Source organism: Homo sapiens, chromosome X (assembly GCF_000001405.40).
Source record: "Homo sapiens chromosome X, GRCh38.p14 Primary Assembly".
In the NCBI taxonomy this organism is placed as follows: domain Eukaryota; kingdom Metazoa; phylum Chordata; class Mammalia; order Primates; family Hominidae; genus Homo; species Homo sapiens.
The window spans coordinates 154,458,026-154,475,606 of record NC_000023.11 but is presented as its reverse complement, the minus strand read 5'-3'; the positions used below and the strand labels follow the sequence as shown (position 1 = coordinate 154,475,606).

The following is a 17,581-nucleotide window of genomic DNA, read 5'->3' as shown; positions in this document are numbered from 1 at the left end:
TCCTTATTTGTGCAGTTGGTTGTTATGTGGACTTGTCTAGTTTTGGTAAACACCTACGGTCCTATAACCACCACCACTGTCTGGCACCGTGGCCCCACAGCTGGACGGCTGGAGCTGGCAGCTTTTAAACCCAACTCAGGTGGCTGTCCAAGCCACCCTATTTAAAATTGCATCTCAAAAAAAAACAAAAACAAAAAAAGAAGAAAGGCCAGGAACAGTGGCTCATGCCTGTAATCCCAGCACTTTGGGAGGCTGAGGCGGGCGGATCACCTGAGGTCGGGAGCTCGAGACCAGCCTGACCAACATGGAGAAACCCTGTGTCTACTAAAAATACAAAATTAGCTGGGCGTGGTGGCACATGCCTGTAATCTCAGCTACTCAGGAGGCTGAGGCAGGAGAATCACTTGAACCCGGGAGGCGGAGGTTGCGGTGAGCCAAGATCATACCATTGCACTCCAGCCTGGGCAACAAGAGTGAAACTCTGTCTCAAAAAAAAAAAAAAAAAAAATTGCATCTCACTTGGCTGGGCACAGTGGCTCACAACTGTAATCCCAGAATTTTGGGAGGCCAAAACAGGAGGATCACTTGAGCCCAGGAGGTTCAAAACCAGCAAGACTCCATCTCTACTAAAGAAAAAAAAAAAAAACAAAAAACAGCTGGGTATGGTGGCAAGCACTTGTAATCCTAGCTACTCAGAAGGCTGAGGCAGGAAGATCACTTGAGCCCAGGACATCAAGGCTGCAGTGAGTTGATTTTGCCACTGCACTCCAGCGTGGGCAACAGGGCAAGATCCCGTCTCCAAAAAAAAAAAAAAAAAAAAAAAAAAAAAAGGTCAGGCATGGTGGCTCACGCCTGTAATCCCAGCACTTTGGGAGGCTGAGGCAGGTGGATCACGAGGTCAGGAGATCGAGACCATCCTGGCTAACACAGTAAAACCCCGTCTCTACTAAAAATACAAAAAATTAGCCGGGCGTGGTGGTGGGCACCTGTAGTTCCAGCTATTCGGGAGGCTGAGGCAGGAGAATGGCGTGAACCTGGGAGGCGGAGCTTGCAGTGAGCCGAGATCATGCCACTGCACTCCAGCCTGGGCGACAGAGCGACACTCCGTCAAAGAAAAAAAAAAAAACATAAAAAGTAAAAATAAGATTCCATCTCACCTGGCCGGGCACAGTGGCTCATGCCTGTAATCCCAATACTTTGGGAGGCTGAGGGGTGAGGATCACTTGAGACCAGGAATTCAAGACCAGCCTGAACAACATAGCGGCAACCTATCTCAAAAAAAAAAAAAAAAAAAGCCTGGCATAGTAGAGTGCACTAATACACCCAGCTATTCAGGAGGCTGAGGTGGGAGGATCACTTGAGCCCAGGAGTTTGAGACTGCACTGAGCTGTGATCTTGCCACTGCACTCCAGCCTGGGCAACACAGCTACACTCTGTCTCAAAATAAATAAATAAATAAATTGCATGTCACCTTCTCCCCACCTGCATTACTTAACAGGCCTGGGAGTAAGACTTTGGTAGGTGCACCATGATGGGTGCCACAACCTCGACAGTATGCAATTGTCAGGTTTTGAAGGAGCTGGCTGCAGCTGAAACCGCCGGAGGGTTCTAAACAGTGAGGCAACATGATCCACCTTATATCATAACAGGATCTCTCTGCCTCCCACGCTGAGAACAGGCTGAAGAGAGCCAGGGCAGAAGCAGGGAGACTGGCATCCAGGCAGAGATAGACGATGGCACAGGAGAGCTGGGTGGGGGTGGTGGAAGGGAGGAGAATCTATCTACCTTGAATCTGTCTTGAAGGTAGAGCCACCGGGGTTTGCTGATGGGTCGGGTATGGCCCTGAACCTCCCCAAACCCTCTGGGACCCTGCAAGGAGTGGTCCTTTCTCCCACAATGGGGCTCCAGCTCATGCAGCATCCACAGGTCTACTGACCTGCCCCAAGGACAGAGCCCCACATGGATGGCATTTCCCCAACATTTAATCAGGAAAAAACATTCCATGAACAAAGAAAAACTCATGCAACTAAAGAGGAGAGAACGGGGGGTCTGGGACTGTCAGACAGGGCCAGATTCCTCAGAGGAGGCAGAAGACACAGAGTAGTAAGGCACGGCCGCCTTGGCCCCACAGGGCGGGCACTGGACGGAGCGGGCGCTGAATGGGGCGGCTGAAGGAGTCGGAGCAGGTGCAGACAACACTGAGGACGTTTGGCAGTAGGCTCAGGAGGAGGAGCGTTCTAGGGCCCCCAGGCCCAAGTCAGGCCCTGGCACAAGCCTGAGTCCAGCCCTCCAGGTGCTCAGAGAGAATAGGGCCCCGAGATGCTTGAGGGGGACCCTGTGGTCCAGCGTGGCACAGCCACAATTCTGAGGAAGCTTTGGAGGCCTCACCCCAAGTGCTGCTGGTACCGTGACCCCGCCTTGGAATGGGTGGGGTCAGCCATGGCAAGGGTGAGGTGCCAGAGGCCAGACCGAGGCTGATAATGCTACACAAAGGAGCCCAGACGGGTGGCAGGGCCCAGGACAGCTCAAGAAGAGGCAGGTGAGTGAGGGTGGCGACATCCGGTGGGGGGACACATATTTACAGATGGAGACAGAGGCGAAGTTCGATTCAATAAATAGGCAGAGGGATATAAATAGCAGGGAGGGTGGGACTGTCCCAACACCTGGGCACAGGGCAGGAGGGTGGGGGTATTGCTGCTGCTGGGGTGGGGGCTCGCCCTGTCACCCCTCCCCCTGCAGGGCCCAAAGCAAGGCACTAATGAAGGGGGCCTGGGTGTGCCGGGGGCATCGTGGCCAGGGTGACCTGCCCCACGATACCCAATCCAGGGCTCAGCCCGGGGACCCAGGCTTGAGCCAGCCACTCCCCTGGATGGGAGGACGGCACAGGACTGAGAAGCCCCCTCCTCACCGATTCCACCACCTTAGCTGTCGCTGGACACGAGGCTGATGATCTGTTCCAGTTTCTGCCGCAACTTATGCTTCCGACAAGAGGCATCTCGGTCCAGAGCCGTGAGAATCTGGGGGAGAGGAGTCCCCTGGAGCTGGGCTCTGTAGGGGGCGCAGCTCCTGCCATGCAAAGTCCCCACTTCCCAGCTGGGCTCCTCCCTCCCACACGCCTCATCCCTCCGTCCTCCCCCGCAGCCCCTGTACAAACCCACCAGCTCTCCCCAGCCCCAAATGCCCCTCCGACGACAGCACTTTCTCCTCCTCCTCTCCACAGCTAGGGTGCGGCCTGTCCCTAGAGTGACCTGGACTCTGGACTCGCCGTGCTGGATTCCCCCTCCCATTACCTCCTAGCCCAAGCCTCCCTCGCGCCAGGACCCCGTGACCCTCGCCAGACCCAGTGAGTGTTCTGCAGGTCACCATCCTTCACCAGCAGCAGCACTGGAAGATGGAGCCGGCCACTGCCACTCCCTGACCTGTGAGGGGTCCTCACTGGCTCAGGTTGCCAGACCCCACCAGGCGCTCTCAGGCATCCTCCCCGCTGGCTGCTGCACCTCCCCTCCCCTCCCCTCTTTGTGTCCTGGGGCCCTGGGCTCAGTGTTTGGGCCGCTTCTCCCTCCACACCCACTTGTGGCTTCCCTGTGAGCTCATCCAGGCTCAGGGCTTTAAATGCCATCCACAGGCTTGCAAATGTGTCCAGCCCAGACTCCATCCTAAAGTCCACACCTCTATGTCCTCCTGCCTCTGGCTATTTCTCATCACAAAGCCTGACCCATCCCTTCCAGTGCTCAGGCCCTTTAACTTTTGCCCAGTGGCCACTTTGTACCCAGCCAGTGGCTTATCTCCTGGGTCCCTCAAATTCCAGCATCTACCTGTGATCCCAGAGAGCATCACCTGTGCCGGCCCCAGGCCCTGGTCAGGGGAGAGACCGTGAACAATCCCCAACCCCCACCAACCCTCCTGCCTTTGTCACTGGCTGCACCTTCAGGACCAAGTAACTGGGAGTCTGTGGGGATGACACACACCTCCTGGCGGTACTTGGTGACATAGAAATACAGCTCGTTGAGCGCACTCAGGACGCTGAAGTCGCTGGCGTGGAGGCGGGACTGCTCCACCAGGTAGGCATCCATGTCCTGGTCGCTGATGGATGCCATCTTTGCAATGTCTCGATAATACCTGTTGGGACCCTGAGTATGTCACTCAGGCGACATCACAAAAACTAGAACCCCTGCCCTCACTGCCCAGCCAGCCCCCGGGCTTCCTGCCTGTAGCTGGCCTGCCTCGCACAGGCAGCCCAGGGAGGGGCAGGTCCTGCCCTCTGCCACCCACAGCAGGGCGGAGCCCACCTCTCCACCCAGCTCTTGTAGTTGGGGATGTCCTTGGCGTAGAGCAGTTTGTTGGAGGGCGAGTCCTTCCCCAGGCGGTGCTCGGATGTAGAGCAGGAGTCCATGAAGGTCTGGGCTACCACCGACAGGCAGGCATCCGTGATGCTGTTCTTGTGGATGTCGAACACGAACTGCGGGTTCTTGATCACATTCACCCAGAAGCGCAGCGGCAGGCTGTGGACAACAGAGGGACGTGCGCCTGAGGCTCCCTAGTTAGCCCCAAGGGGCCCCTCCCATGTGCACATCTCTTTCCTGTCGGGCCGGCTCACATCTTGTCCAGAGGTGGTGAGAGCAACACATTTAGGGTGAACGGCCTTTCCTCTAAGTCTCTGCTGAACTTCTGTTCTCAATAGGGCTCAACCCCCTCCGCAGCTTCTCCTGTCACCGCTCTCACCACCTGCGACCGACCACCAGCATCTCTACCTGGTGCAAGACCCCAGAGGGCAAAGGCCTCACCACCACCATCCCACCCACCCAGGCAGTCCAGCTCCAGAACTGGACGCAACAGGCCCCTTGGCTTGATGGCACCGTCAGTGTCAACCCCAGGCCAGGCCTCATTCCCTCCTGCCTGGATGCTACTCCAGGCCCTGGGTCTCAGCAGAGCCACCAGCGTCTTCCGCCCACCAGTCTCCAGACAGGCTGCTGGCAGCCCAGCACGGGGTGATACCAGTTGCTCTTCCAGGTGTGGCGCACATCGGGGTCGCTGATCTGGCGCTGGTCCGCCTGCTCATCCAGGAAGTCGAACATGTACTTGATGGCCAGGGGCAGGGCCGAGCCCCGGTGGGCTGTGCTGAACACTGTCTCAAAGAGGTCATCCACGAACTTCTGCAGTGTGCCCTGTGTGGGGCAGAGAGGTCACAGGCTATGAGGGAGCCAGGTTGGGATGTCCCCAGAGCAGGACAGATGGAGGCAGAAAGGCTTGGCAAAGAGAGGGGCTTCCCTACAGGGCCAGTGGTCTCTCAGACAGACATGGCCTTTATCTAAGGCTCAGAGTTCCCACAGCAAAGACCCGAAGAAAGGCCCACTGGAAGCAAATGATCCATGGCCCCTCCCCTGTAAGGCCGGGACAACCTCTGGGCGGAGGCCAAGGTGGCGAGAGGCAGGCCCATACCTTGGTGGCCAGCAGCCGTGTCAGGTAGATCTCGGAGACCATCTTGCTGCCACGGTCCCCCTCGCGATGGTCGGCATGGTCGTGGTTTTTCACCAGGTGCCACAATTTGGTGCCTGTCTCCTGGTCAGGCGTAATCATGGGTGCCCGTGAGCGGAGGCTATCAGGGCTGCTGGCCGTGCGGAGCAAGCTCTCTGGAGCAGAGAATGCATGTGACCCTTAGGCCACCACCTGGCCCCTGCCCCACTCTCCCGGGAGCTCAGCAGCATGTGGGGACCCATCTGCCCTCGCTGGCCGACCCTCCGTCTACACTCTACAGAATCGATGGCACTTGGAAGTGGGGGTTCCCTCGAAGGGCACATGGCCACCACACTGAGGACACCTACCGTAGCGGCTGAGGGAGCGGGTGAAGGTGAAGGAGTTGGCCATGTTATAGGCAGACACTTGTTTGGGCACCAATGCCACCAAGGAACCGTCTGTCACCTGGAGGCCCCAGAGACAGAGGGGGGCAGTGCAGGAAGCTGAGAAGCCAAGGCGCCCCCACCCACCCACACCCAGGAGGGGAGCCCACGAGCCCAGGGAGAAGGGCGAGGGGAGCCAGGGCCACTGCTCCCGTGTCCTGCTGCAGCTCAAGGCAGGGTCCTGGCTCCCAGGTGGCCCTGGGGAGGAATGGGCCCCAACCCCTCACCTGGTAGTGGGCCAGTGAGTTGAGCCTCTTCCAGTCACACTCGATCTTGGTGGTGACATCCTCATCCTGGAGGATGATGCGAGTCATGCGGCCCTGGCGCCACTCTGTGGGCCACAGACAGCCCTTAAGATTATGCTGGCAGCCCCCAAGTGCCTGGCCCACTCCTCTTTGGAAACAGGGTTCAGGTGGGGAGCGGGAGAGCCCACGGAGGTCACACGGCACAGGAGGGTATGAGTGGGAGCCAGGAGGAGAGGGTGGGGACCTCACCCAGGTCCATGTCCTCAGCTTTGGGACGCTGGGAGTACGGAATGCCCTTGTACACAGTGTCCAGCAGCTTATCTTTGGCCTGGGTGATGCTGTCACAGTTGAGAACCTTCACTGGGACCTGGGCGCTGCCCTCGTTCTCCGGACACACGCAGTGAAGGGTCTGAGGGGAAAGCGGACTCCAGTGTCAGTCTGGGGCGAGGCCTCTCTCTGCACCCCTACCTCTGGCCCGCCTGGCCCTGCGCTCACCAGTGTCTTGTAGTCGATCTGCTGACGGATGAGCTTGTCCTCGCTCAGGGAGTATCGTGCCTCGCCCGTGATGGCATCAATGGGGCCCTTCTCCATCTGCTGCTTGATGGCACAGTAAAGCAGGAAGAGAGGCTCCCCAGCACACTCCTGCAGCCAGGGACAGGTGCACAGCTGGCTGCCTGCCTGACCACTGGCCGGTCCTCTGCCACCACCTCCCTGCCGCCCACCCACCTGGCGCACCTTCAGAAACTTATGCAGCAGGAACGTGAACCAGTTGGTAAGCATCTTCTCAGCCACTGACTCTGTCCTAGGGCAAGAGAAGGGGGCTCGGGCCTGGCAGGGGTGGGGCTTGGACAGGGGGCAGGCCCAGGCAGGACAAAGGTGTGGCCTGGATAGAGCAAGGCAGGTACCTGCGTAGCAGCAGCTTGGGGTGGTTCTTGCTCTCGAGGTTCTTCTCGATGAGGTCGGCCAGCAGTTGCTTGAGCAGCCCCGTGGCATAGTCGAGCCGGCTCTGCAGGGCCACCATGGTGAGCGAGGCCACGGTGCCGCGGTCGCGCATGGAGAAGCTGCTCTGGGCCTCCAGCGTGTGGATGAAGGTAAGCACGAACGCGCGGCTGTGCAGCAGCTGCCCGAAGAGGCGCAGGGCCTTCTCCACGTTGGGTGGCGTCTGTGGGGAGCAGGAGGTCTCAGAGGGTGGGGGCGGCCCTGAAGGGAATGGTGGGGGGCAGGCCAGGCAGAGGCTCACATCCAGCTCCTTGAGCACCGGGTGGGCCTCGATGCCCGGGAAGAGCACGCGCACGGCGTAAGTCCGGTAGTCCAGGAAGGGGATCTGCACCTCGTCCATGTGGTTAGTCAGCTCATTGATGTCCGTCTGCAGCTCTGCAAAAGCTGGGGGGTGGAGAGAGGGAATGAGTGGGCAGGAGGGAGGTCCCCAGCTTCCACACCACATCCCGCCCCGCCTCAGGCACCTTCCTTGCACTCCAGGGCCACACGGGACTCCAGGTTGTCCATCTGCAGCTGCAGACGCTTGAGGGTACGGTCCGCGTCCTGAGTCTTGCGCTTGTAGGCCACCAGCACGGCTGTGATGGCCAGCAGCAGGAGCCCACCCCCCGCCGCCAGCCCCATCATGGCCGGTAGGGTCAGCGCCCGCTCTGCCGAGATGTGCAGGGTGCCCAGCCAGAACTCCAGGCCACCCACCAGCACCTGTGGGGACAGGCCTGAGGTGAGCTGACCACCACGCCCACCCTGGGCTGCCCAGGGGGTCTCCCCATCCCCACCTACCATGACAGGCTGCCGGCCAGTCTGGCTGGGTGAGTCGCACAGGAGTTGTGTGTCCGAGACAGTGAGCGAACACGGCTGGCCTCCTATCAGCACAGTGTAGTTGAGGCGGGAGCTGCCGGCTGCAGCGGGAATCAGGTTCTTGCCCTGGGGGTGGAGGACAACTTCAGCCCAGGACTCTCCACTTTCCCGCCCCTCCCCGCCCCCACCCCGCCCGCACCTTCAGCACCACGTGGGAGCCCGGTTTGACGTCCAGCACGCCAGAGGGCCCCAGCGGCTCAAAGCTGGGATCAGGGTAGTAGGTAAAGGAGGAGCGGTTGAGGGAGCGGGCCGTTTGCACGTGGTCCAGCAGGAAGCCAAACTCATCAGGGTGCTCGCCTTGCGCCCGAGGCTGGGGCCGCCCAAGAAAGATGCCGGGGGCCTTACACAGCATGGCAGTGTCGTTGATCACTTGGCATGTCTGTGGGGACAAAGGTGGACAGCCAGGCACGTGAAGCCATGGGCTGCAGGGTCGGGGTGGGGCGGGGCAGCTGGTACTCACATTGGTGGTCTCAATGCCGCGGTACTTGGCACGGACCCGGGGCTCCTGGACCGTCAGCAGGTGGGTCCCACTCACAGTGATGGCAGTGCTTCCACTAGGGACAGGGCAGGGGCCTCAGGCTCCCTCCTCCAGTGCACCCACCCAGCCCTGGAGAGCGATCAAGGCTGCCATGGCAGCCCAGGCCTTCCCTGACCCTGGATCGCCTAGTGGGTGCCGGGTACTGTGCAGCCAGGACAGCTCCACCCCCTCCACCAATGAGGGCCTAGGCTCCAGGAGGGGCCCCACCGGAGCTCAGAGACCACCCAGTCCCTGAGCCCTCTGGACACTGCCAGGCTCCCCAGTCCCCCAGGGTCTTACTTGATGATGCTCCAGGTGGGCTCAAGGCGGGTGACGGTGGGGTCCTGAGTGTAGGTGTAGATGAGCCCGGGGCTGGAGATGTTAGCCCGGTCAATGGCAAGTGTGATGGGGGCCTGGCTGGGGCCCAGGGTGGAGAGAGGTGAGATGCACACGATCGCCTTGGCATCTCTCCTACATTGGCAAGCAGGGTGCTTGGAGCGGGTGGCCCAGGGCCCTCAGCCACCCGTCCCCACGGCCCCCCACACGATGCCCAACCCAAAGCTGGCAGGGCCCCGGCCCACCTTACAAACTGGCACTCGCTGTCCCTCACAGTCACTGTGACCCTGCTGCCAGCATCCAGAGAGCTGCCTGAGATGGTAAGCCGTGTGCCCCCGGACGCCGGGCCACGGCTGGGACTCACTTGGTCAAACGTTGGGGTCTGCGGGAGAAGCTGCCCTGAGGGGAGGAGCCGGGCCGGGCTGCTCCACACGCCCCTTGCGGGAGAGAGAAGGGACAGGAAGGGGTAGGGCCGGCAGCCACGCACCACAAAGCTGTAGACCTGCTCCGACTGCGTGCGGAAGTCGGCTGAACAGTCACCCACACACAGCTCCACGGGCCCCGGCGGCGGGCTGGGCACCAGCGACTCCTCCATCTCACACACGATCCTAGGGCTCAGAGAGCGTCAGGGCCGGCCAGGCCACATACGGCCCGGGCACCCACAGAGCCGCACTCACCTCTCAGCACTGATGTACTCGGCCGGAATGGAGTTGCAACGCACGCCAGCCACCCGCAGGCCCACCTCTCGGGACAAGAGGCCCAGGTTCTCACCCACGATGGTGACCCGGGTGCCTCCTTCCTTGGGCCCCACGAGAGGGTGGATCTGTGGAGCAGGATGGGCAGTGAGAGAGTTGGCTCAGACTCCCAGGGGCCCTGTTGGCAGTGGGCAGGGGCGGTGAGGGAGGCTGACCTGCGTGATGCGGGGGTGGCTGCACCGGGTGCCCTTCTGGCTCAGGTGCATCCAGTTGGTCTTCGGGGCCGGGCAGTGGGTCCGCAGCTGGCACCTGTGCTCTGAGATGCACCAGCCACAGTTGAAGCGGGGATCAGCCTTGAGGCAGAGGCCACAGCTGGGCCGCTGCGCCCAGCACTTGTACAGGAGGGCTGCAGGCACAGAAGGCACTGCTGACGGAGCAGGCAGTGGCAGAAAAGTGGAAAGTGGGGAGCACTAGGGCCCCCAGACCCGACCCCAGCAGTGCCAATTGCCTTAGGAGGGAAGCTCCCTGGCCCATGCCTTCACCTCGGAAGCTGGGAGGCTTGTCTATGGGGAAGTCTCCATCCCAGACCACGGAAAAGTCCAGCTCGGTGTCACCATGCTCATCACCTTCATAGGAGTACTGGAGGAAAGGAACCCATGGGACCCCAGATAAGATGTGCAGAACCCCTACCCAAGATTTTTGCCAGCTGCCCCCCTCCTCCAGGTACAGGAATCCCTAGCAGGAGACTCAGACAGTTCCCTGCCAGAGAGCTGGGCATAGACAAGAACGATCCACACCACGCCACAGCCCAGACCCCGAAGGGAGGCAGCGGGTGGGACCTCACCGAGGCGTTCTGGCACTGCACACTGCTGCTGTTGAAGCGCACGGCAGGCACCCGCTGCTGCCGCCCCTGCACCCGCACCACGCACTCATAGTTCTTCTGGCCCGACTGCGGCTGAGGTAGGTTCTTAGCCCGCAAGGTAAGAGGCTGCATGACCCCAACGGGGATCAGGAGGTCCCCACTGGGCAGGATCTCAGGGCAGCCCTGCGGGGAAAGCACCTGTCAGCTGCACACAGGGCCACCCTTCTCCAGGCCCAACCTGGAGAAGGCTCAAAGAAACCGAGAACGCATAGAAGCCGGTGGCCCCGCCCGCACCACAGAGCCCAGCCCCTCACATGCGGCGCCCGCCTCACCTCAGGGCTGTGGACCCTGCCCTCCTGGAAGGAGCACTCGTGGGGGCGGCTGGTACACGTGTGGCGGTACTTACACCAGTGGCAGGGGTAAGGGCTGCCAACACAGGACATGCACCTGGGGGGGAAGTGGCTTCAGAAATAACAGAGGAGGCTGCACTGCCCCTCACTGCTCCCCAATAGGACACATCGGGAACTGAAGGAAGAAGGCAGCCATATCAGGGGACAGAGAGATGTGGGGATGTCAGGGGCTATCAGGGCCTGACAGTTAGCCCCTGATGCCCCAGAAACAGCTGCCCTGAAGGTGTCGCCTGTCCCAGAGGTCCCCTCTATCCCCAGGGGTAGGGACGGGTGCTGGCCAGGTACTCACGACTGGAGGACGCTGCAGTTGTAGAAGACAAAGTCAGCACCGGCAAACCTCACGCCTGTCTCCTTGGAGAGAAGCTGCAGCCGCACAGTGCGGGTGGCCCCTGCAGCAGTCCCGGGGTGGCCGTGAACTCGCTGGGGGTAGGGAGAGGCCCCACTCTGCCCCATCCTGGGCAGCCCCAACCCACTGACCATGCCCCCTGGTAAGAGCTCGGAGCTCCTGGAGGGAGGGTGAGGGGCAGAGCAGTTCACCGGAGGGCAGCAGGACCGCCTCGTTCTCCGCCGCCGCCTCGAAGGCGCAGCTCACGCCCGCACTGAGGTCTGGCACGTTGTGCAGGGTGACGGTCAGCTGGGGGAAGCAGAGGGCTCAGGGCAGGGCGGACTCCCAGCACACATGTGCACACCCAGCCGGGCACCCCCAAGCTGCTCACCTGCACCCCAGGTGACGTCACTGACACATTGTTGGGCCGGACCCGCACCTGGACACACTTGCTCAGCTCCTCAGCAAAGCCGTGTGGGGCAGAGGCGCCCAGACAGGCCCCTTCGCGGCAGCACCTGCACGGGGTCGGGCCAGAGCCGGTCCCGCCACTGCCCCGGGAGGGCCCAGGCCTGTCCAGCTCACAGTGCCAGGCAACAGCGAGCCTTGGCCGCGTCCCCTGGGGCCCGAGGGACGTCACTCGGGGTGGAGGTTCCACTCATTAGCTGGAGAAAGTGGAGGAGGGCGGGGGGAGGCCGCAAGGGCACGGCTGGGTGTGGCTGGCTCCCCCTGGCCAGTGGGGCCCTCCAACTCCCCGAGCAGGGGTCCCCGCCCTCACCTGTGTCGCAGCACACACCAACCACAGTGCGGGTCCCCGGAGCCCAGGCAGGCTGCGCAGCTCTGGTACTGCTCACAGGTCTCCACCGGGAGCTGGCTCACCTGGGGACAGCCACATCAGCACCCAGCCCACCCCCGCCCCACCACCCACCGCCACCCACCACAGGCCCACCTGCTTCTCACTCAGGAGATAGATGTGCCGGTGGTCCGGGCTGAAGAGCAGGTCTCGGAGGATGGGGCTGCCATCCACCACGGGGACTGTCTCATACAGGTGGGCATCCTGGAAGCCATCGACCCGCACCTGAGCCACAAGACCAGCCTGATGCCACCACAGCCTCCTGCACCTGGGACACTGTCTTCTCCAGCCAAAGACTTTGGAGGTTGTGGCTGAGCTGACGTCAGGACCTGGTGGGGTTCAGCACTCACACCCACAGCCCGGAGGCCAAAAAAAGGAGGGTGCAGACGCCAGAAAATGCCCTCAGCAAACAGAAGGACGGAGTGATTCGTGTTGCCCAAGGTCAGGGGATGCAGGGGAGGGGAAGAGCTAGAAGATGGCATTGATTAGGAGAATGAGGTAGTGGCGATGGTTGTGCCACTCTGCAGATCCACAGAAACCCACTGAACTGTGCACTTTAAAATGGGTGAATTGGATAGTACGCGTTCAACAAAGCTGCTACAAAGGAAAAGAGGGTCCCAGGAACAGAGCAGGTGGGCCAGGAGAGTTCATCATCCTTCTCCACAAACCCTTCCCTGCGCCCCCAGACCAACACTTGCCCTCCTGGGGGATGGCACTGCATCTACGAGGCAAGCAGGATGAGAGCACTGCAGTCCCCCGACTCCTACCTATTCAACACGTACCTGAGTGCCCAGAAGTTCATCTCCCCCTTCATGCCAAGCTACCCCCAGATCCCCAATGGAAGCAGCTTCAGCCCCCGGGCCCATGGGTAGGAGGGGAAGGATGGGAAGTAGTGAGCCAAGGAGAGGGCAGGGGCAAGTGGGTCTGTCCCAGGCATAGGGAGGCTTGAGGGGCAAGGCATTTGCTCCCTTGTTCATTCAACAGAGGACCCAGCAATGCTGGCTCAGCCCCAGGCCTGCTCTCGTGGCAGGGAGACTCCACAATAGGTCTGTTCTCTGTCCCCAGAGCCATACGAAGCTGGCAATTCAGTCCACAGTGGGAACTGGCAATGGTGAGGGTGGGCGGCCAAGGGGCGACCCGAGGAGCAGGGCCAGGCGCCTGGGACCCAGCCAGGGAAATCTCCCTCCCTGCACCAGCCGTGTCCTCTCCTGTCCTGTCCTCAGAGCTCTCCCGTGTGTTCCCACCAGCCTTGTCCCATATCTGAGACTGTCCCCACCCCCACATGCCCAGGGCTCTGGGGGCCACCTTCTTCAAGCTGCCGCTGCGCGTGCCAATGAAGACCACAGAGTGCTGGCGGTAGGTGTAGGCGGCCACGCTGGCCATGCCGTCGGTGCTGTCGGCCAGCAGGGGCAGCCCCTCGATCACATGCAGGCCTCCCAGAGGCTGGTTCAACACCAGCCCACAGAAGTTGCCGTTGATCTGCATGGGCTGGTGAAACAGAGGAGGAACCCGTGAGAGTCAAAGCTCCCAGGCGCAAGATGGAGGCCGGCAGTTCCTGTGTCCCAGAAGAGAGCGGGATCTAGAACCCGGTCCCCTCCAGCCAGGACTGACTGCTCGCCCTAGGGTGCTCCAGGAAATTGGTGGCTGCGGAGGGAGACAGAGGAGGGACAGCAGGGAGCGAGGAGCGAAGCCTGGGCCCACAAGACTCTTGTTGGCTCAAGACAAGGGGCAACCGGGAGACGGAGCAAGGAGGAACGAGCTGGGAACGGAAGGAAGCAGAAGTGGGGCACTGGGCAGCCCAGAGAGAGGCAAGGAGAGGGCAGGGACCCCTGGGAGGGAGAAACAGGTGGGAGGGCAAAGGTGCCACTCCCAGGGCCATGGCAAAGCCTGGGACAGGATGACTGGCCGTGAGCCCACGCTGGGCATGGTAGACCTGGGACAGGGCAGAGGACCAGTGTGGGGTGATGAGGGGCTCACGGTGTTGATGCAGGGCAGCTCCTTGTTCAGCAGCCAGGGCAGAGCCAGAGTGCCCTCCCCACGATAGCAGGACTGGATGCGGCGCCGGATGTGGGCATTGATGTTGCTGAGGGTGAAGAGGCAGAGGATGGTCTGCCGGGGTGGGCTGGCCCGGTTCTTCTGGCCCTGAGAGAAGATGGTGAAGAGGACGTCCTCATCAGCCGGCACGCCCAGGGCCTGGGCCAGCAGCAGGCCAGGCTTGGCCAGGTGGGCGCTCTGCACCAAGCGGTACTCCACGCCGCGCCAGGAGCAGCCGATGGGGAATTCCACGTATGAGTAGAACTCTGAGTCTCCCGCGCACATGCGCACGATCTTGGACGTGAAAAATTTCTCGCCCGCTGTGTCCAACAGCGTCTGCTGGGTGTCCAGCTGCAGCGTCAGGAAGTACACGAAGGAGGCGCTGACGAAGCCGTAGATGTAGTAGATGTCAAAGGCAGGGTACAAGGACAGCGTGTCTGAGGGGATCTTGATCTGGGAGGACACAAACTCATCCTGGTACACCTGGGGAGCAGGGGGAGGAGACAGCATCCGGTGAGGCCCTGTGCCAACATCACGGGCCACCGCCAGCTTCCCTCTGCATCCCCCTCCCGCCTGGATGATCACAGAGGCCCAGGCCAGAAAGGCTGCAGAGGGCAGGGTGACCAGCCTCCCTGCACACAGGGGACCCCCGCAACCTGGGTTCAGGCTGTCATCCCACCCTCCGCAACCTGTCTGCATCCCAGACACTGAGGAGCCGAAAGTCCCCTCTCAGAAAGAACAGGGCTCTTCTGGGAGGCAGAGCCAGGACTGGGTGGAGGAAGAAGAGAAGGAAGGCTCACGCACGAGACTGAACATGTCCGCGCTGTCTTCATCACTGATGAGCTTGCGGGAGCTCAAGGTGGGGAAGTACTCCGACTTGCCGTCGACAGCAGTGCCCACAAACAGCTTGCTGGGCCCCTGGCCCTGCTCCACAATGACACCAGCCATGGAGTCGGGCTCCTGGGCCCCCGACAGGTAGTGCTCCTTGCGGTGGTGCGGCTCACCCAGCTTGAAGAGGTCGTCCAGACGCAGGAACTGGCAGATGCCCTGCCAGATGCTGCCGCAGGCCACCAGGCGGCGGGCCGCATAGTCTATGAGCAGCAGCTTGTTGATGTTGTCCACGGGGGCCAGGCGGTGGGCACACACGCGCATGCTGGGGGGCGGGTAGCAGCGAGCGTTGTCCTCGACGGGCCCCGTGACATGGGCCCGCAGCTCAGTCAGGTTGGGGGCCAGCTTAAAGACTCGGTTCACTGCGCCCACGAACACCTCCCCAGTCACCCGGTGCACAGCCAGGTGGGTAAGCGTGGTGTCTGTCACCACGAAGGCACGGAAGGGCCTGTTGCCCAGGGCCCCCCCCACGGCAAGGAAGAGCAGCAGGAGGAGGCAGACAGAGGGCATGGCCGGCAGCCGCGCCTGGGGACAGGCCTAGGGAGAGACGGTGTGTGGGAGTCAGAGGCCTCGAGCCACAGAGGGCTGGGCCATTCACCCACCACCCCGCCAAAGCCCCAGATGGCCACCGTGACAGGGAGAGAGGAGGGGCCTCCGCCAGGGCGCATGAGTGAGCAGCCAGCGAGGGCAGGCTTGGGGGCCATCAATCGTCCCTCAGCCCCCATGCTGGAAAGGAGCCAGGAGGCCTCGCCTCAGCTGGGCCACACCCAAGGGGGTAGCAGAGCAGATGCTGGAACTGGGACCCCAGATGCCACATCTCAGAGCCCGGGGCAACCAACAGCAAAGAACAGCAAGCCCCAGGCCTCTGGGCTGCCCCCAACGCCTGAGCTGAGGGGAGAGGGAGGCAGGCACAGAATAATCGCAAGCTGGGGGAGAGGGGCAGGGCCAGGAACACCACCTGGAGTGGCACTGCCACCAGGAGCCCTGGGACAGAGGTCTGGGGAATGGAGGCCTGATGCAGGATCCAGCACCACCATGTCCCCTGCAGGGGCCCCAGCTGCCTCCCCGACAAGGGCCTCAGCTGGCCATCCAGGAGCCCGCTGTCTGGCCTCCCCGATGCAACACAAAGCCAAGTCGCGCCTGCCCCTCAGCCACGCACCCAGACACACATCAGTCAAGCTCTGCTCAGCCACAGCCTGCATGGCTCCCCCTCCAGACCCAGGGGTTCACTGGAGAAGGGAATGTACAGGGGGCCCTACCTGCCCTTTGGAGTCCCAGGAGCCTTACAAGAGGAGGAGCAATGTCCCCAAATACAGTCAAGGCCTTGGAGAGACAGGGCAGGAGCCACAGGGACAGTGCTGGGACTGGCACTTAGTCCCCAGGCCACACCCAGTCAGCCCCAGGCTGCTAAGACAGCAGAGCAGTGTCGTGGCAGCCAACAGGGCAGGGCTCAGCGCTACCCTCTCAGTGCCAGAGCTCCCGGGGGAGATAGGAGGTACCCAGCTTGAGGGCGGGAGGCGGGGGGGGAGCGGGGGGTGGTGCAGGGAACCAAACCAAGGAGGCACAGGAGAGAGAAAGGAAAAATAAGGCATTTGCCAGGAACAAGCAGCGGGCCCAGCTTGAAACTGCAAAGTTTCAGCTCAGATTGATCACCTCTCCAGGGCTCTTTTGTCAGCTGGACCCCTCATGCAACAGCCGGAGAAGAAAGGAAGGCCAAAGAAAAGAGAGGCCACATCCTGTCTTCACCTCCTCTACACCCCGGGAACACAAGCCTAGGAACAGGCTGGGGACAGGTCGGGAGGGAGACCTGGGGAGGCAGTTTCAGGCCCAGCCCCCACCTGTAAGTGGCAACCTCGGGCATCACAGGTACAGCTGGGCCAGCAGAGAGCCTGAGGAAGGGGCAGCCCCACGCAGAGACGGGGGTCCAGCGGCCGCCCCCCACACCCCCCACCGTGCTGCTGGTCCGGTTTGCCCGGGCCCCATCAGGGCACCCCTCGGCGGACTCGCGGAGCCCTTAGCGGGAGGGAAGTACAGCGTTGATCCTCCGAGGGGCCGCTCCCCTGCGACAAAGGGTCCTCTTTGGGCAGGGTGTTGGTCTTGGGTTGGCGTCCCCACCATGCGGGGCACAAGGAGTCGGGCAGGCCGGCGCCGACGGGCAGGGATAGGGCCTGACCCCCACAGGCCGAGCCGGACCCCCGGGCTGCCGGAGCCCCGGGCCCCGAGCTGTTTGGCCCCGCACGGACGGCGACGATGACGGCCACCTACCTGTCCCTCCGCTGGCTCCGGGTGGCCGCCCTCTGGCCACGTGGACGCGCCCCCGAGCCCCACCGCGGCCCCGCTCGCACGTCCCCACGGCCTCGCCCCGCGCCCCGGGCCCCAAGCGCGCAGCCGCCGCCGCCGCCGCCCACACACTGGGCTGGCCCGGGGGCCGCCGGAGCCTTTTAAACCCGGACCGTACCACCGCGCGGGGCGGGGGCGTCCGGGGACGCCCGGCCGAGGGGGACGCGGCGGCAGGGGACGCAGGCGGGGCCGCTGCTCCCCGGGGCCAGGGACCTCGCGCGCAGCCCTGACCCCCGCGACCTGAAGGGGGACCCGCCCGGCCAGCCGACCCCCTTCGCTCGATGGCCGCGTCCGCGGCGCGCGCCTCCCCCGCGCCCCGGCTCCCCGC

The 17,581-nt window shown here is 62.4% G+C and overlaps 1 protein-coding gene across 4 annotated transcripts in view, besides 4 other annotated features; it reads right to left on the bottom strand.

Moving 5' to 3' along the window:
* Window positions 1-17,326, bottom strand: part of PLXNA3 (plexin A3) — a 19,499-nt gene extending 2,173 nt beyond the window's left edge. The window contains exons 1-33 of one of the 4 annotated variants that reach the window (NM_017514.5): window positions 17,179-17,326; window positions 14,830-15,450; window positions 13,969-14,508; window positions 13,297-13,479; window positions 12,088-12,216; window positions 11,917-12,017; window positions 11,533-11,656; window positions 11,294-11,450; window positions 11,106-11,205; window positions 10,739-10,853; window positions 10,389-10,589; window positions 10,087-10,183; window positions 9,760-9,950; window positions 9,527-9,672; window positions 9,337-9,457; window positions 9,095-9,231; window positions 8,814-8,984; window positions 8,457-8,550; window positions 8,136-8,375; window positions 7,919-8,062; window positions 7,606-7,840; window positions 7,383-7,525; window positions 7,048-7,304; window positions 6,878-6,944; window positions 6,638-6,784; window positions 6,392-6,551; window positions 6,125-6,228; window positions 5,823-5,919; window positions 5,440-5,630; window positions 4,996-5,165; window positions 4,290-4,502; window positions 3,969-4,119; window positions 1-3,017 (exon numbers count right to left, since the gene is read on the bottom strand). The exon at window positions 1-3,017 is cut by the window's left edge and continues 2,173 nt beyond it. In NM_017514.5, coding sequence (NP_059984.3) covers window positions 2,922-3,017; window positions 3,969-4,119; window positions 4,290-4,502; window positions 4,996-5,165; window positions 5,440-5,630; window positions 5,823-5,919; window positions 6,125-6,228; window positions 6,392-6,551; window positions 6,638-6,784; window positions 6,878-6,944; window positions 7,048-7,304; window positions 7,383-7,525; window positions 7,606-7,840; window positions 7,919-8,062; window positions 8,136-8,375; window positions 8,457-8,550; window positions 8,814-8,984; window positions 9,095-9,231; window positions 9,337-9,457; window positions 9,527-9,672; window positions 9,760-9,950; window positions 10,087-10,183; window positions 10,389-10,589; window positions 10,739-10,853; window positions 11,106-11,205; window positions 11,294-11,450; window positions 11,533-11,656; window positions 11,917-12,017; window positions 12,088-12,216; window positions 13,297-13,479; window positions 13,969-14,508; window positions 14,830-15,423 — 5,616 coding nt within the window. In that variant the 5' untranslated portion in view covers window positions 15,424-15,450; window positions 17,179-17,326 and the 3' untranslated portion in view covers window positions 1-2,921. Of the gene's footprint in view, window positions 3,018-3,968; window positions 4,120-4,289; window positions 4,503-4,597; window positions 4,726-4,995; window positions 5,166-5,439; window positions 5,631-5,822; window positions 5,920-6,124; window positions 6,229-6,391; window positions 6,552-6,637; window positions 6,785-6,877; window positions 6,945-7,047; window positions 7,305-7,382; window positions 7,526-7,605; window positions 7,841-7,918; window positions 8,063-8,135; window positions 8,376-8,456; window positions 8,551-8,813; window positions 8,985-9,094; window positions 9,232-9,336; window positions 9,458-9,526; window positions 9,673-9,759; window positions 9,951-10,086; window positions 10,184-10,388; window positions 10,590-10,738; window positions 10,854-11,105; window positions 11,206-11,293; window positions 11,451-11,532; window positions 11,657-11,916; window positions 12,018-12,087; window positions 12,217-13,296; window positions 13,480-13,968; window positions 14,509-14,829; window positions 15,451-17,178 lie in introns of those variants that run through there. The other 3 variants (XR_007068193.1, XM_047442247.1, XR_430556.4) reach the window with 3 other exon arrangements.
* Window positions 3,107-3,401: an enhancer, noted in NCBI's record as "tiled region #3405; HepG2 Activating DNase matched - State 9:DNaseU". NCBI's record gives its function as "activates a minimal TATA promoter and a strong SV40 promoter by Sharpr-MPRA in HepG2 cells {active_cell/tissue: HepG2}" and the evidence as "EXISTENCE:reporter gene assay evidence [ECO:0000049][PMID:27701403]".
* Window positions 15,871-16,423: an enhancer, noted in NCBI's record as "H3K4me1 hESC enhancer chrX:153687524-153688076 (GRCh37/hg19 assembly coordinates)". NCBI's record gives its function as "activates a minimal SCP1, AML or CMV promoter by ChIP-STARR-seq in primed H9 embryonic stem cells {active_cell/tissue: H9 hESC(primed)}" and the evidence as "EXISTENCE:reporter gene assay evidence [ECO:0000049][PMID:30033119]".
* Window positions 16,909-16,978: a silencer, noted in NCBI's record as "silent region_21108". NCBI's record gives its function as "represses an Ori minimal core promoter by ATAC-STARR-seq in GM12878 lymphoblastoid cells {active_cell/tissue: GM12878}" and the evidence as "EXISTENCE:reporter gene assay evidence [ECO:0000049][PMID:35858748]".
* Window positions 17,219-17,458: a silencer, noted in NCBI's record as "silent region_21107". NCBI's record gives its function as "represses an Ori minimal core promoter by ATAC-STARR-seq in GM12878 lymphoblastoid cells {active_cell/tissue: GM12878}" and the evidence as "EXISTENCE:reporter gene assay evidence [ECO:0000049][PMID:35858748]".